This window comes from Homo sapiens, chromosome 12 (assembly GCF_000001405.40).
Source record: "Homo sapiens chromosome 12, GRCh38.p14 Primary Assembly".
Taxonomy (NCBI): domain Eukaryota; kingdom Metazoa; phylum Chordata; class Mammalia; order Primates; family Hominidae; genus Homo; species Homo sapiens.
This window is the reverse complement of record NC_000012.12, coordinates 125,281,931-125,299,801: the sequence shown is the minus strand read 5'-3', so window position 1 is coordinate 125,299,801 and position 17,871 is coordinate 125,281,931. Positions and strand designations below refer to the sequence as shown.

The following is a 17,871-nucleotide window of genomic DNA, read 5'->3' as shown; positions in this document are numbered from 1 at the left end:
CACTTAGACCAGGGTGAGAAGAGTACAGATTCTGGGCATCCTTTGGAGGAAGAGCCAGCAGGATCTGCTGGTGGATCAGACAGGATGTGAACACTGACACTGACGTGGTGACATGCGTCTGGAAAAGCGGTGACAAGGGTGGCCCCAGGGCTTTGGGTCTACACACTTGGAGCAATGAGGTGCTGCTTCTGGGATGGGGAGACCAAAGGATGCACAGGCTGCATGGGGCTAGAGGTGGCTCCTGAAGGCTCTAGGGAGCTCCTGAGCAGGTCAGGGAAGGGTGAAGCAGGCGCCATCAGCCCAGAGTCGGTCTGGAAGGCCGCAGACTGGAGGCAGCCATCCAAGGTATTGACATGGGAAGGGCTGGAGGACCAGGTCCTGGATCATTCCAGATGCCGAAGGTCAGGGAGATGGATGGGGAGCCACAATGGGGCTTGGGAGGAGCCGCCAGGGAGGCAGGAAGTAAGCCAGTGAGTGATGAGTCCCAGGGCCCAGGGAAGAGCAGATCCAGGAGGGAGGGAGAAAGGAACAGACCCGAGTGTTGGAGAGACAGTGGGGTGACTTTGACAAGAGCTGCTGCATAGTACAGTGGGGGGTACAGCCTCATAAAAGCGGGTTCAAGAGAGAACAAGGTAAAAGAATGGATGGCAGCAGAGCGCCAGGGTGCACACCTGTATAGTCCCAGCTATGCAGGAGGATCGCTTGAGCCCGGAGTTTGAGGCCAGCCTGGGCAACACAGCAAGACCTCATCTCTAAAAAACAAGTGATGGGCCGGGCGTGGTGGCTCACGCCTGTAATCCCAGCACTTTGGGAGGCCGAGGCAGGCAGATCACGAGGTCAGGAGATTGAGACCATCCCGGCTAACACGGTGAAACCCCGTCTCTACTAAAAATACAAAAAATTAGCCGTGCGTGGTGGCGGGCGCCTGTAGTCCCAGCTACTCGGGAGGCTGAGGCAGGAGAATGGCATGAACCCAGGAGGCAGAGCTTGCAGTGAGCCGAGATCGCGCCACGGCACTCCAGCCTGGGTGACAGAGAGAGACCCCGTCTCAAAAATAAAAAGAAAAAAAAGAAAAAAGAAAAATAAGTGATGGGAGGGAGTAGATGTAACACTTTTTTTTTTTTTTTTGAGACAGAGTCTCACTCTGTCGCCCCGGCTGGAGTGCAGTGACGCGATCTCGGCTCACTGCAAACTCTGCCTCCCGGGTTCAAGTGATTCTCCTGCCTCAGCCTCCCGAGCAGCTGGGATTACAGGCACCTGCCACCACACCAAGCTAATTTTTGTATTTTTGTTTGAGACGGGGTTTCACCACGTTGGCCAGGCTGCTCTCGAACCCCTGATCTCAGGTGATCCGCCAACCTCAGCCTCCCAAAGTGCTGGGATTACAGGTGTAAGCCACCATGCCCTGCCGATGTAACACTCTTGAGGAACGTTTCCTACAAAATGGAGTAGAGAAACTGGCAGTAGCTGCTGGGTGGGTGGGAGGGAGATGGACTGGTCAATGGTATTGGGGTTTTTTTGTTTTCATTTTGTTTTGTTTTGTTGTGTTTTGGAGACAGGGTCTCACTCTGTCTCCCAAGCTGGAGTGCAGTGGCGCAATCATGGCTCACTGCAGCCTAGAATCCTTGCTCAAGTGATCCACCTCAGCCTCCACAGTAGCTGGGAACACAGGCTCGCGCCACCTTGCCCAACTGATTTTTAACTTTTTTGTAGAGATGGGGTGGCCTCACTATGTTGCCCAGACTGGTCTCGAACTCCTGGGCTCAAGTGATCCTCTTGCCTCAGGCTCCAAAAACACTGGGATTACAAGCATGAGCCATCATGCCAAGCCTAAAGGTATTTCTTAGGAGGCGAGCATGCTTGTTTACTGTTGGGAATGGTCCAGCGGAGAAAGGAGCGTGGATAATGTGGGAGAAAGAGAGAGGAGGAAGAACCACAGCAGAGTGAAGGAGTAGGCAGGAGGAAATGGGATGTAACCCATGAGCCACCCCAGGGCTCCCCCTTCATTTATGGGTCCACTCACTCCTAGAAGATCCTGTCCCTGTTCCTCCCAGGGCTCATGTTCCTCCAAATCACAGGTGGAGGTCTAGAGCACCAGCAGTCTGCTTGGCCAGCACCTGCACTGAACTGGGTGTGAATATTTAGGACCTCACCCTTGAGCATCTCAATTCTTGCTTCCACTTACCTAGCTGCAGGGAAGTGAGGTCCACCTTTTAGCCCCAGTATTGAGCGTAATGCCTGACACATCGTAGGTGCTCAATAAATGCTGATGGAATGAATCACCAGCAATAGGTGGCCGCTGAAGCGTGGTCCTGCTCTGCTTTCTAAAACTTGGAGGATGGATGGTGTTGGGAACAGCACTAAGCCAGAAGGCTGGCCATTTTCCCCAGGACGCTCCACACAGGGCACCCCAGGAGAAGGGCTTCTGGTGACAGTGGGCCAATAACAATGCTCAGAGGCCCATCCACACCTGTCACCCTATCACCTGTCAGGTCTACACCATGCAGCAGGGAGGTTGAAACATGTGCCACCGTGTGCCTGCCTCGGGACATGAGACGATCCCCTTCCAAGGGGAAAAAGGCTCCCTCCTCCTCCCATCCACCCTGTTGTCTCACTGGGTAGGAAAAGCCATCCAATGCTGACCCAGGCAGGACCCCCCCAAGGAAACCCAGAGTCTCTGGACCTGTGGCCAGCACAGCAACCTCCAGCTCCGTCACCCTCCCCTTAGCCTAGAGAACAGAGAGCCAGCAAGACCAAGACCATTCTTCCCACTGCTCTGCTCTCTCAGAAGGACGGATGGACGAGCTCACTCACAGCTGCTCGTGCAGACCTGTTAGGGACAAGCATGCATCTTCCACAGCAGCTGGGAATCTGCAGGCCTCCTGTGCACGGTTAAGAGATTACCAGGCCCCGGCTGTCAGTTTAACAGCTTTCCCCGGCTCCTTTTGCTGTAATCCCTAACGTAGCACAAGGAGCCTGAGGAGTCCTCCTGCCCAGACAGCCTGGTCCCAGTTCGGTGATTCTTCACACAGTGATAAAGGAGTGGGATGGAAAGACACTTTGCAGCCAATGCTCACTGGAGCATTCATTCACCCAGGTGACAGTTAGGAGCCCCCGCCAGGTGCTGGGTTCTATGCCGAGCATTTGAGATACGGCAGAGAAGCCATTCTTCCCCTCATGGGATGGATGTTCTTGTTGGGGGAGACCAACAGCAAATCATAAACAGAGCAAGTAGATTATCCAGTTTGTCAGAAGGTGATACAAGCAGTGGGGAACAGGGCAGGTGGTGCCCAATTGGCAGGTCACAGTGTGAAGCAGAGAGGTCCGGGAAGGCCATCCTGGGAGGCGGGATCTGGGCAGACAGTGTGAAGTAGAGAGGTCCCGGAAGGCCATCCTGGGAAGACGGGATCTGGGCAGAGACTTAAAAGGATGTGAGGGTGTTGGCCAAACAGATACCTGGGAAGCGCACTCCTGGCAAGGGAACAACGGGAACAAAAGCCCGGAGGTGGGAGGTGCCCGGTGGGTGGGAAGAAAAGTGAGGAGACAAGTGTGGCCAGAGCAGGGCATAGGCAGAAGGAGATGGGATCAGGAGAAGCCCAGGACCACGCTGTACTGGGCCGTGGGGCCACCATAAGGACTTCGGCTTTTATCGGAATGAGATAAGGTGTGCTTATGGATTCTGAGCAGAGGAAGGAGAGGATCAGACTCGGGTATCAGAAGGCTCCCTCTGACTTGGAGTGGCTGTGAATGTATAGTACAAACTCAAGGGCAACCTTTTCTTTTTTTAAGTGTAAAAAGAAATGTCATTGATACGTGAAGAGAGGAGAAAAAGCATACTCATATAAAGTGTTCAATTAAAATCAGAACCTGTTACTCTAAGTGCTACTATCAGCAAGAGCTATTTCGCCACAGTGCTAAGTGCCGCCTGATTGTGTTATGCATCGTTTTATTTAATCCTGGAGATGAACCTGTGAATAAGGCATCATTCTTGTTCCCATTCCACAGAAGGCAAAACTAAGGCTCTGTCTTGCCCAAGGCCCAGCCACCGATGCACAGTAGAGTCAGGTCTCAGACTCAAGTCCTGGCTTTAAGTACAACATGGTCTGCCTCCTACGCTTTGGGCAACATCTGTGATTTTGGCACACTATTGAGAATGAACTCAAAGGAGATGTCTAAGGAGATACAAGACATCATCACAACAAAGCAGCCTGCCCCAGACACCCAAGTCTGTCTGTCTCTGTCTCTGTCTCTGTCTCTGTCTCTCTCTCTCTCTCTCTCTCTCTCTCACACACACACACACAGGTTTCATGGAGGAGAGACAGCCGGCCTATGTGACCCACACTTCCCAGAGTCTCTCCTGTAAGCCACCACATACAGTGTTTCTGTTCCATCATTTCATGTCCACGTTCCCTTCCAGCTCCTGCCCCAACAGGCTGGATCCCTGTGTGAGTGGCCATAGGAGACGCTCACAGACCTTCCCTCGAACATCTCATAGATCCCTGGCTGGAAGAAGGGGCCCCACCCAGAGCTCTGTGGTTCTCCCACTCCCAGCCCAGCCACGGAGTGCTCTCCCAGGTGACTTGTCAGAACAGAAGCACAAGATAATTATCACACTAATGAGCTTTTTTTCCTTTTTAACTAACTGGCAACTTTAGTTCTCTTTGGTCATTTTGCTGTTTAATCATGGCTGACTCTCGTTAACTTTTGTTCACTTCCTTTTTGTGCTTTTTTTCTTCTGCAGCCTTTGCCTCTAGTAGAAAAACTGAAAATACAGAAAAGCTTAGAGTGGCTCACACATACACAATCCTACCACCCGCCGTTAAGGTTGTACATGCTTCCTGCATTTTTCTTTATGCATAGTTTCAATAAGTTGATATTTTATTGTATACACCACTTTCATTCTGCATTTTTTCTGCCACTTAGCATAAACACTTTCTCCTATTATTAAAAATTCTTTATACAATTATTTATAAAGACTACCTAATATGCCATGGCATGGCTCTTCCACAGATTTTCTCAATCATTCTCCTGCCTTAAATCAATATCATGTATACTGTGACCAGCAGGACTTCGGAGTCAGCAGACTGGCTGCTTACCACCTTGGGCAAGTGACAAGCTTTCTAAGCTTCAATTTCCACGTTTGTATGGTAGGGAATTGAGGTCATAATAACCTCAAAGTTTGTTGGGAAGATTCGTAGTTGATATATAGGCAGCTCTTACTGCAGTGCCTGGCACTTATTTAGACCTTCAGTGGCAGCCATAATTATTTTATCAAGGAACCATGTCCCCATCATTGGAAAACTAGGTTGTTTTAAATTTTCTACCATTATAAATAGTTCTGTGATGAACATCTCCATGCATAATGTTTAATCCACTTTTCCCATTTGAGATTATTTCCTTTTGATAGATTTCCAGCAGTGGAATTACCAGGTCCAACAGTGCATGAGTAACTCTTAAATCTCTACCAGGTCTGGCTTGTTGCATCTAACCAATATTGCCAGCAATGCAAGCATGCCTATTCCAGTTGTCTGCTGCCTAACACACCACCCCAAATGTAGTGGTATATAGGCAGTTATACAGAACAAAAGCCAGTTTATTATAGCTCACAGGAGCTTGGAAATGGGAATTCAGATCAGGCACAGAGGGCATGGGCTGTCTATGCTCACAGTGGTGGAGGCCTCAACAAAAGAGACTTCAGTGACAAGGCTGACTCTGAGGCTTGGGACTTCCTTCACCTGGAGGCTTTCTCACTCACAGGTCACCTCTAGGCTTGCTGGCTGCAAGGCTGGGTTCAGCTGTCAAACGGGGTGGCTTGGGCTTCCTCACAGCATGGCAGCTGGGCTCCAGGAGGAAAGTATCTCAAGAGGGAACATTCTAAGAGAACCAAGCTGCATGGCCTTTAGGGACATAGCTTTGGAAGCCACACAGTGCCACTCCATAGTTCAGAGCGGTTACAAGCCAGCCCCAATTCAGGGGGAGGGGACATAGACCCCCACACCTCTCAAGGGGTGGAATGTCAAAACTTTGTGACAGGTTTTTAAAACTGCTGCAATAAGCACTATTCACAATAGCAAATACATGGGATCAACCTAGGTGCCCATTAGTGGTGGACTGGATAAAGGAAACATGACGCATATACACCATGGAATATTACATAGCCATAAAAAAGAACAAAATCATGTCCTTTGCAGCAACATGGATGCAGCTAGAGGCCATTATCCTAAGCAAATTAATGCAGAAACAGAAACCAAATACTGCATGTTTTCACTTATAAGTGGGAGCTAAACACTGGGTAGACATGGACACAAAGATGAAAACAATAGACGCTGGGGCCTATTCAAGGGAGGAAGGAGAGGAACAATTGCTGAAAAACTACCTACTGGGTATTATGCTTAGAACCTGGGTGACAAGATCAATCGTACTCCAAACCTCAGCATCACACAACATACCCATGTAACAAACCTGCACAAGTACCCCCTGAATCTAAATGTTGAAATAAAAAATAAAGTTAAATAAAACTGCTGCAATACGCTTTACTAAGAATTGACTCAATAAAGTAATACAAGGGCAGCAGGTCCTCTTGTCCATGTGAGCAACCACAGGTGAACAGGGAGTCTGACAAATTGTGCCAATGTCTCAGGGAGAGACTGTACCACATCCCTGGCCATCAATTTATCCCCATGTCTCCATTATGTCAATGGCATGTGTTGAAAGGAGCCAGCCCCATAGCACTGAGCTCCCCAGCTCCCAAAAGAATCCAACCCATGACCTGGGCTTAAGAACTCCTCGCTCAATTAAATATCCATTGTTCTTGCACATCCAGCAACCATTCCCCATACATTTGCTAACAACACCTCAATTTTCCTTGGAGAAACCACTCTGAGCCCACATGGTTTGGGTGGTCATGTGACCCTGACCTGGCCAATCAGCATTGTGCAAACTTCTAGCCACTGAATGAGTTCAGAGGCAGGTACATGATCCAAGGAAATCCAGTGAGATTCAGTCTTGTCATTTCTGCTGAACCGACTGAGAAAGAGAAGCCTCCTTTTCATCACCAGCTATACGAATGACATAAATTTGGATTGTCACAGGTCACTCCTGAAGGGGTAGCCAGAGAAAGAGGCCAACTGGAAACAGGCAAGGAATGGAGAGAGACCAAGTCCTAATGTCTTCATTTGAGTCCTTGGATTTAGCCATACCTGAAGCTGTCCCTCCCAGATACTGCAGTTTTGTGAGCCAATCTCTTTCTTTGTGCAAGCCAGTTTTGAGTTGAGTTTCTGTCACTCGCAAACAGAAGATTTGTAGCTGCTACATTGTCTCATTATAGTCACTTTCTAGTCCTTACTTTCATGACCAAACTCAACCAATGCAGTACAAAATGTTTTTTTAATCAAACCAAATCTTCCCTGGCTGTAGGCCACCAGCTCCAAAACCAGAGAAATGGAAACATTTCACATTTGTTCCAGTGTGTAAAACCTTTCAAGCTAACACCTCCCTTCCATTCTGTCACTGCAATTTTAAAAATAAAATGGGAAATAAAGGTGTTTCTAAGCAACAAATTATATATGTAATGGGGGAGGGGGAGGAGAATTAGAAGGTTTAATCTAGGTAGAAACTATTCCCATTTCTTTCTGAAGTCACTACCTGCTTGAAACCTCCACAGGAGAATGAAACAAAGGTTGAGCTATTTTAGTTCTTCTCTGATATGTTGGTAATAAATGTATCCTAGAAATTCTTGAATAGTGATACCATAGGCAAATGAGTGAGACTACTCTGATAAAATAATTTGTTAGAAAAAATATGGCTTTGGATATTGTGTTAATTATCTGTTGCTATTTATGGATTACCACAAACTTAGCAACTTAAAACAATGTGAATTTTAATACAGACAGAGTTTCAATTTGGGAAGATGAAAAGGTTCTAGAGATAGACGGTGCTGATGGTTGCATAATCATGTGGATAGACTTAAGGCCACTGAACTGTACCTCTACAAATGGCACATTTATGTTATGGATATTTCACCACAATTTTTTTTTAAAAAAAGCAAATATGTCTCATGGTTCCCATAGGTCAGAAGTCCAGACACATCATGTCTGGGTTCTCTGCTCAGATTCTTGCAAGGATGAAGTCAAGGCATGCCCTGAGGTGTGGTCTCATCTGGAGCTCAGGATCCTCTTCCAAGATCACTCAGGTTGCTGGCAGAGTATAGGTCCTTGCGCTTGGAGGACTGACATCCTCATGCCCTTGCTGACTGTCAGCCAGGGGCTGCTCTCAGCTCTTAGACACCAGCCACATTCTTGGTGACATGCCCCCTCCATCTTCAGAGCCAGCATGGAGAATCTCCCTCTAGCACTTCAAACCCCTCTAACTTCTCAGTCTCTGGCCAACAGACTTTCATCTAAAGAGCTCCAGTGATTAGATCATGCCCATCTGGACAATCTCACTTTGTTAGTTCAGGTTGCTATAACAAAGTACCACACACTCAAGGCTCATAAACAACAGGGACTTATTTCTCACAATTCTGGAGGGTTGAAAGTCTAAGGTTAGGTGTCAGCTTGGCCGGGTTCTGGTGAGGGCCTTCTTCTGGGTTGCAGATGGCCACCTTCTCACTGTGTCCTCACATGGCAGAGAGAGAGTTAGCTAGCCTTCTAACCTCTTCTCATAAAGGCACCAGTCCCATCATGAGGGGTTCACCCTTATGATCTAATCACTTCCTAAGGTCCCCACTTTCCAGTGCCACCGCATTGGGGATTAGCATTTCAACGTATGAATTGGCTGGGGGACGGGGAAGGATTAAGTGGTATGGAGACACAATTATCTTGTCTTTAACACTCTCTCTATCTTAAATTCAACTGTGCCATAAAACACAATCCAGTCTCAGGAGCGATATTCCTCATATCCACGGTCCTGGAGATTACACAGGGCATGTGTACCTTCAATTCTGTCTACCATACATGCCTTGAACTCCAGTGATTCCAATCATAAGTATACACTCTGGAGGAAGTTTTGCATTTGTACACAAGGAGATGTACCAGGACACTCACTGTAGTATTGTTTACCGTGGCAAGAAACAGCAAGCAGCCTAAATGCCCATCAGCAGGAGGACAGATGAATATTCCGTGATATATTCATATACCAGAATACTATGCAGCAGTGAAATAAACTACAGCAATATAGATCAGCACAGATGAGTCCCACCAACGTGGCAAGATGAACACATTGCGGAAGGATATGTTTAGCAAGATGCCATTTATATAAAGTTTTTAAACACACACAATGCCTCATGTAGTTTATGATTACATATATGGATAGCAAACTTAAGAAAAATTGCTAAATTCAGGCAGTGGTAATCTCTAGGGAGAGCGAGAAGGAAGGAAATCTGGGAGGAGTCTACAGGAGCATCGATTGTAACTGTCAGGCTTTATTTCCTCGGTTGGGTGGTGGGTGCACGATATTCATTAAAATATTCTCTGTGCCTCTTTGCATGCCTGGAATATTTCATGATTTTGAAGGTAGTAAGGTTTCATAAATCAATAAGAGCAGAAAGTTGAAAGTGAAGCTCTAGAATTGCCTGCTGTTCAGAAGCTTCGGCAGTTGGGTAATTCCGATGCGTAATGAGCTACTTGAATGAATTACGGCCCAAACTCAGCCAAGATTCACGGACGGCTTTCATTTTGTTCCAGTTTTGGATTTTAAAACATACCGACTTTGTAGGCTCTAATGAAGAAACAATCACCACTAGAAAAACACACACGGCATATCCAGGCTTCCTCTTGCTGACATGGTATATCTTTGATTTAAGGGGGACATAAAGCATGATGGATTATAATTGGGGGATTGAAGAGCGCCCAGATATGTCAGCAGCATGACTAGGGGATAAATTGTCCAAAAGCCTTGGAAACCTTCCCAAGGTGAGGACTTTTGAGACTGCTGTAGCATGAGAAACACTGCTTCCCTCTGTCCAGAGACAGTGTGGCCCGATGGTTGAGCCCATGCACCCTGGAGCCACTTGGGCTCAGATCCATGTTTGGCCACTTCTTAGCTGTGTGACCTCAGTCAAGTGACTTGATGTCTCTGTGCCTCAGACTCTGTCTGCAAAGTGTGGCTGATGAAAGTATCTACTTATGCATCTGCTCTGAGAAGTAAATGTGCTAACACGTGTAATGCAGCTAGAACCAGCCCAGCATGTGGCAGGTGTGTGATCCATGCCACTATTGTTATTCTCTGTCTGGGTTCCATTGTCAAATAGTGTGGACCTCCAAATACAGGGGTGGGTAGAACCCATGCCAGAACTAGACTTCCTGGTTTCAAATCCCAGCTTCACCACTTAAGAGTGATGCAACCTGGAGCAAATCATGTGTACTCCCTGAGCCTCAGTTTTCTCTCCTGTAAAATGGGGATGATGATCATGGCAGGTGGGTTCTTGTGCCGATTAAAGAAGTTAACACAAGGAAAGCACCAGAAGGGTGCCTTGTGCCACCGCTTTTGAAATAACAATTCTATCTTCATTTTAGGAAGAAGAGAAGAACCTTCTTGAAAGGCCAGGTTGTTCAGTGTTTGTGTGAGTTTGCTTATTATAAATATATAAATACTTCAGATTCCTTTGGCAGAGAGTATGGGACTCAGAACCCACCTCAGCCAGGAAGGGGTCAGAACCCCTGAGCCAGAAGTACAAGACACACATTGCTGAGAACACTCCAGGTCAAGCCCATCAAAGCTTGGACAAATTCTCTTAAGAATAGGTAAGGTGTGGTAACTGCTTAACTCCTTGCAATAAGGTTTAGAAAACTCAGCGTTGCCTACGAGCCAACCCCAAGCCACAGTCCCCTGCTGCCTCTGCATGGCACCGCCTGCCCTTTGAGCTTGGCCACAGCCCACCAGCCAACTACCATCAGCAGCCTGGGGTAAATTTACAAGAAAACTCCCACCCAGCACCCCACTGTGAGGAATACCCCTAAAACAAAAGTTCTCAACCAGGGATGATTTTGCCCCCAGGGGGACATCTGGCAATATCTGGTTGTCACGAATTTGGGGAGTGAGTGGTACCGGCATCTAGTGGGAGGAGTCCAGGATGCTGCTGAACATCCCACGATGCGCAGAACAGCCCCCTGCAACAAAAAACTATTTTACCCCAAATGCCAAGAAAAAAACCTAAAAATACAAGCGTAACATGGTCCTAGATGTGATTCCAAGAATACCCACACAGCATGCCCATAGTAACAAAAAAGCTGGAAACAACCAAAGTAACCAGCAATATGAGATGAGTTACAAAAATAAGTGAATAAGTGATGCACCATCCCTGCTGCAAAGCTAGCAGCTCTTTTTTTTTTTTTTTTTTTGAGATGGAGTCTTGCTCTGTCGCCCAGGCTGGAGTGCAGTGGCGCGATGTTGGCTCACTGCAACCTCTGCCTCGGGGATTCAAGCTATTCTCCTGCCTCAGCCTCCTGAGTAGCTGGAATTACAGGCGTGCACCACCACACCCGGCTAATTTTTGTATTTTTAGTAGAGACGGGGTTTCACCATGTTGGTTAGGCTGGTCTTGAACTCCTGAGTTCATGATCCGCCCACCTCAGCCTCCTAAAGTGCTGGGATTACAGGTGTAGCTGGCAGCTCTTTAAAACAGAAAGAGGCCGGGTGCAGTGGCTCACACCTGTAATCCCAGCACTTTGGGAGCGCAAGGCTGGCGGATCACCTGAAGTCAGGAGTTTAAGACCAGCCTGGCCAACATGGTGAAACCCCGTCTCTACTAAAAATACCAAAAAAATTAGCTGAACATGGTGGTACCAGGCACCTATAGTCCCAGCTACTCAGGAGACTGAAGCAGGAGAATCGCTTGAACCCGGGAGGCAGAGGTTGCAGTGAGCCGAGATCGCGCCATTGCACTCCAGCCTGGGCGACAGAGTGAGACACTGTCTCAAAAAAAAGACAGAAAGGGATCTCTATGTGATGTGCTGGGACAAAGATCTAAGAGGTATAGAATAATGTGAAAAAAGCAAGATGCATAATAGTGTAAGTAGTGTGTTCCCTAGTATTTTTTAGAAGGGAAGGTATAATTCTGGCATGTGCATTTGTTTGTTCTGGAAGCGATCCTCTAGAACTGTAAAGTGGTTACCTTTGGAGAGAGACTATGCAGGGAGGTTTCATTTTTGTTTTGCATCATTCTGTGGTTTGCGTTTTTTGTCCTTCTACTAATATTACTTGCATTTTCTGTTTAAATGTCAAAACAGAAAAAATTCATCCCTTGAGGTTATTTGGGCAGGGAGATTAAGGCCCTTTTTGTTTTCATCTGAGTATTGGTCTACATGTGCTTTAAAAGCTTGGAAATGGTACCTTTAAAAATAGTTACTTAGGTGCTAGAGAATGAAATAATTTAAATTATGTGTACTGTAGTAGACAGAATTAAATGCCTCCCCCAAAAGATGCCCACGTCCCAATTCCCAGAACCTGTGAAGATGTTACCTTACATGGTAAAAGGGACTTTGCAGATATGATTAAATTAAGGATCTTGAGATGGGAGATGATCCTGTAGTGTCCAGGTGGGCATGATGTCATCACAAGGGTTCTTATAAGAGGGTGGTGGGAGGTCCAAATCAGAGGAGACGGGGCCACAGAAGCAGAGGAGGGAGGGAGGAAAAGGTCGGGGCAAGGCCGGGGAGATAAACAGAGACAGAGAGAGATGGAGAGGGAGGCTGATTTGAAGATGCTACCCTGCTGGCCTCAACAATGGAGGAAGGAACCATGAGCCAAGGAATGCAAGCAGCCTCCAGAAAGCTGAAAAAAAAAAAAAAAGAGGAATTCTGGCCAGACCTGGTGGCTCACGCCTGTAATCCCAGCACTTAGGGAGGCCGAGGAGGGTGGATCACCTGAGGTCAGGAGTGCGAGTCCAGTCTGGCCAACATGGTGAAACCTCGTCTCTACTAAAAGTAAAAAATCAGCTGGGTGTGGTGGCACACACATGTAGTCCCAGCTACTCGGTAGGCTGAGGCAGGAGAAGCACTTAAACCCAGGAGGCAGAGGTTGCAGTGAGCCAAGATTGTCCCACTGCACTCCAGCCTGGGCGACAGAGTGAGACCTCATCTCAAAACAAAAAAAAAAGGAATTCTCTCCTAGAGCCTCAGAAGGAACACAGCCCTGCTGACACCTTCATTTTAGCCCAGTGAAACTGACTGCAGGCTTCTGACCTCCAGAACTATTATATAAAATAATTTATCTCTGTTGTTTTAATCCACTAAATTGGTGGTAACTTATTATAGTGATATAAAACTAATATTTATTATTTTATTATACTAATATTTATTATTTTATTATATTTTCCCACCAAAAGGTGTTCCTGCCAAATACTTCACCAGATCCTTGAAGAACCCAGAGTCAGGCTGGTATCCCATTCTCTATATGTAGAAACTGAGGCACGGCACTATTCAATGACAGTTGCCCATGATCATTCAGTTACTTGGTGTCAGAGCAAGCAGCAGGGCTTAGTTCTGTGCCAGTGCTCTCCCTGACACACAAAGGCAGAAGAAGGCTGTACCCAAGAGCATGAGTTCCGGAGGCAGAATGCCTGGGATTATGTGCTGGTTCTCCCGCTACTGGCTGTGTGATCTTGGGCAAGTGAATTAACTTCTCTGTGCTTCTCTCTTCTCATCCGCCAAACAAAGATAAAATAATCCCTGCCTTAGAAGGCTGTGGTGAGGATGAAAGGTATACATGTAAAGTACCTGGCGCTAGGGTGACCTCGATAAACATATGAGGATGATTCATTTCGAGTTAATGGGGAATTGAGCATGGTTGTTTCCCATGGCTGGTCCTCAGTAAATAGGCCCTGAGTGAAATGCTCTTGCCTCTCTTACCCTTGCACAGGGTGTCTAGGCGCAGAAAGCACCTTAAAACTCCCTGTCAAGGATGTTTACCTTCTCTAATGTTAAATGATGCCCCCCACCACCCCAGGTTCTCCTCTACCTCCCCAGGCCCTGCTCAATTGCTGGGAAACGCTTTGCCCCCTGGCCACTTGGCGACGCCCCAGGCCAGGCCCTGGAGTATGATGGGGCAGCGGCCAGACCTGGGGTCTCCCTCATGTTGCTACCAGGGATCTGGGGTATGGGTGGGGGCTAGGAGACCTGGGAGCAGCCCCAAGGGAACTAGGACTCCTTCTGTGGGAACCACCTGTGCCCAGGTGGCCTCACCTGGTGAACACTGGGTCTGACTCACTTTGGGAAAGAAATTTCACCATGTGCTTTGAAATCTCCACATCATGCTTGAATGGTGTGAATCCCCTCTCTCACTGGCTCAGTCCAGCGCTGGATGGATGCCCAGAGCTCAGCAAAATAAAGGGAGGCTTCAGCTGGGAGTGCCCAGGACTACTCACTGGGGCCTAGACGCTGAGCCACGACCACGCAGCTCTGGCTTCCTCTCTCCCTTCTGGCTCTTTCCTGTAGTTCCTTTAGCTATGTCTTTGCCTCTGACTCTATCTACCATTGTAGCTAACATTAGTGCTAGCCAGGAAATCTTCACTCTTCATTTTTGCGGAAATCCCTCACTCAACCTCAGTCCACCCGGTTCTTAGGAAGGTTAACTCCACCCTCTGGTTCCAGAGGCCCTGGCCTGACCAATCAGTTTATTGTACTCCTGCCCTCAGCCAAAACGATTGGGTCAGAGATTGTCACATGACACAAGTTGGTCCAATGAGATCCAATCCTGAGACTTGTTACTATGGGGAGGAAGGAGGTTTTCTTTTTCCCTCCAACCTGGGAGAATACAAACCTTTGACTGATGGTGTGGGGTATCTTACAATATCAGCTCCATGCAGGCCAGGATTTGGGTGTGTTTTCTTCCTGCTATATCTCCAGCATCTAAGACATGTGGCACATTGTAGGTGTGTAGTTAATATAATAGAATAAGGACTTAATAAGCCTTCTTATCTCTGAAAATAAAGCCAACACAGAGCAAAGCAGGACTCACAGACCAGGTCCAAATGACATGGTTCGTGCACCTGAATATGGCCCTGCCTGTCCACTTCTCTGGATATTTTAGCTACATTGGCCAATAAATTGTCAGATCTACTCTCACAAGTGCAAAAGGAAATGTATACAAGAACACTGCAGCATCGTTTATAACAGCAAATAAAAAAAACGCAGAAGCGATTTGAATGTCTATCCACCAGATACTGGCAAAAGAAACTATGGTATATCCACGTGATGAAATGAAACACCATCATTAAAAAGAGACAATGCTACGCAAACTGGCATGGAAGACCCTTGAAGATATAAAGTTCAGGTTTAACAAAAGCACAGAACTGGGGGTATAAGAAGGGAGCAGGGGGGAGGAAGAGAGATCTTTGCGGTCTAACCCCTGCTCCACGGCAGCGGGGTCTTTGTTCTGTCCACTGCTACAGCTCCGTGCCTACAGCAGAGCCCAGCACATGCACAGTGCTCAACAAATAGTTGCTGAACGAGTGAATGAATCAAAAATAGGTGATGGCTCATACATGCATAGAAAAATCTCTGCAAAGATTCATGTAACACTGGCTGCATCTGGGAGGGAGGTGAGGGAGGCTGGGGAACAGGTGTAGGAGGAAGAGAGACTGAATTATCAGTGTATCCCTTTTGAATTTTGAGCTATGTACATGTACATCTATGCAGAAAAATTCACTAAACAAATAATAAGACAAAAAATCACCTACCATAGAAGGAAAAATCTCTTACCTCTACCTAGACAGTGACATCCCCTAGGAAACAGGGCTGTCAGTCAAGCCTGGTCTCCTCTGGCCATCCTGGGGTAGAACTGAGTGGGGTAACAAAGGTAAACCAAGTCAAAGGATGGAAGTTCAAGTACCAACCATGGCTACTGACTCACTTGGAGGCTTTGGTAATTCTACTCCCCTTCCTGGACCTCGATTCCTTTATCTGTAAAATGAGAGGGTTGATCTCAAAGTCTGTCCTGGAAATCTAGGATTCTGCGACAACAAGCAAACACTACTGAAACTCCTAGTATCTCTCCAGAGGGAGTGGCAGACAGACCAACAGTCTCACTTGACTCCTTCCATGCTTATCTCCCTTTGAGGTGGAATGCACTGGAATGCATCTGCCTTGGTCTGCACCAGACAAGACGCATTACAGGACAGCTGCCGGAAGCTACTCGGAGGCTAAATTGTTGGACGCGACATCTTACCTTGCCCCCTTCCCTGGTAATTTATGCTCTGGACTTGGCCCTATCAACGCTTCATTACAGAGACTGGCACTCATGGTAATTACATGTTTCCCGGGCCAGATTACTTGTTCTCAGCATCTTCCTGGTTTTTAGCACTCCTGTTCCTTTATCAAGGACAGCTGAGCATCTGCCAGGACCGCCAGCGAGAGTCGGGTACACAGCAGGAACAGAAGACGGACCCTGGTAACTCTAGTTTTCTCACTTAATTTTCATGAGTTGAAAATAGCTTTCCGGAATATAATACATATTCAACAGATTTAAATAAATAGTAATTTTGACTACTGAAGCTCAAAAACTTGGCTAGAATATAAGGAGGTTTCACTGCTAAAATAGTACCTACTTGAAGAAAACCTAATATGTACGAATCCAGAACCACAAAGCAGAACAATTTGGTGACTCTGCATTTTACAAAAGGATTTGCCAAACAGATCATTAATTGGCAAGTCCCCTGGGACTTGTAAAAGGGGGCTCATGTTAAAGCTAATCAAATTGAAATTGCATACAGTTGTGCGCGAACACAGCTGCTGCCTAAAGTGGGGCTGCCTTTGATGCTGCGGTTCCCATGATCTTTGGGTCTTTCCATGAGTGAACAGAATACCCGCTTTCTCCTGCACCAAGCTCTCGGGCTGTACCACTTGGACTCCCAACAAACACTTGGAGGGCCGTCCCAAAGAAAGATATAAGGACCACATTGGAATGGTTGTTCAAGGAACCAGGGCCAGGAAGGAAAGAAAGAGAACACTACCAGGTATTAAGCCAAGTGCTTACTATGCACCCAGAGCTCAGAATGCACCAGGCACACACATCTCCCTGCGTGCTCCCAGTGACTCTGTGTTATTAGAAGAGGAATCTGAGGCTCAGAGAGGTCAAAAGATTTAGGGACAGTCACACATCCCCAAGCAGCAGCACCGGGAGCCCTAGCTAGGATCTCTGATTGCCACATCCAAGCTCTGCCAATTAAATCACAAAATCATATTCCCTTTGTCCCCAACAAAGGGGAGGGGACAACATAGCTGCCCTTGGGCCTCACAGTCACTAAGAGGTCAGCAATAGGCATGAGGAAAGGACACCAGTGCCCACATGAGGTGCCATGAGATGTGTGTGCAGGCCATGGAAGACGCGGAGAGTGTTATGAGAAGTCAGAAACAGATGGCATCCTTTGGTTGTGGAATGGTTAGGGCAGGGGTGGGTTGGAGGAGCTTCCCTGCAGGGCAGTCTGAACTGATCCTTGCAGAAGAGGACAAGCCTGGATGAGCTGAGGAGTGAGGGAGAGTGTCCCAGGCCGGGGAAGGCGGGGGCACCAGGGCACAGAGGCAGGCAGGCAGCACACGGCATCCAGCATCGCAGGGGGCAGGGAGCTGGGCAGTGTGAGTGCAGCAAAGGGTTTACAGAAGGGTGTAGTAAGAAGGCAAGCTCAGATGGGAAAGACAGGCCAAACCAAGGATGGCAAATGTGATGCACACAGCACCACTTCCATGTCCGTGACAGGCACCAATAAGCAATTGGAGCACACTCTCACCAAGCTTCAAAAGTCTCTCTTTTTTTTTTTTTTTTTTTTTTTTTTTTTTTTTGAGACGGAGTCTCCCTGTGTTGGCCAGGCTGGAGTGCAATGGCGCAATCTCGGCTCACTGCAACCTCCGCCTCCCGGGTTCACGCCATTCTCCTGCC

General features: G+C 47.4%; 1 protein-coding gene and 1 long non-coding RNA gene across 7 annotated transcripts in view, besides 1 other annotated feature; both read right to left on the bottom strand.

Annotated features, from left to right (window-relative positions):
- The window catches only part of TMEM132B (transmembrane protein 132B), a 475,992-nt gene that overhangs the window by 362,576 nt on the left and 95,545 nt on the right, over window positions 1–17,871 (bottom strand). Inside the window, exon 2 of one of the 6 annotated variants that reach the window (XM_047428241.1) lies at window positions 15,699–15,899. The exons of 3 other annotated variants lie outside the window; for them this stretch is intronic. The gene's annotated coding sequence lies outside the window, so the exon portion shown is untranslated. Of the gene's footprint in view, window positions 1–15,698; window positions 17,697–17,871 lie in introns of those variants that run through there. 2 more of the 6 variants (XM_047428240.1, XM_047428239.1) reach the window with 2 other exon arrangements.
- LOC107984445 (uncharacterized) lies at window positions 9,402–15,691 on the bottom strand. Its single transcript, XR_001749366.2, has 3 exons — window positions 14,758–15,691; window positions 11,047–11,108; window positions 9,402–9,790 (listed from the first exon to the last, which is right to left on the bottom strand). It is a non-coding gene; the product is annotated as an uncharacterized LOC107984445 (long non-coding RNA).
- Window positions 14,567–14,616: a silencer, noted in NCBI's record as "silent region_5082". NCBI's record gives its function as "represses an Ori minimal core promoter by ATAC-STARR-seq in GM12878 lymphoblastoid cells {active_cell/tissue: GM12878}" and the evidence as "EXISTENCE:reporter gene assay evidence [ECO:0000049][PMID:35858748]".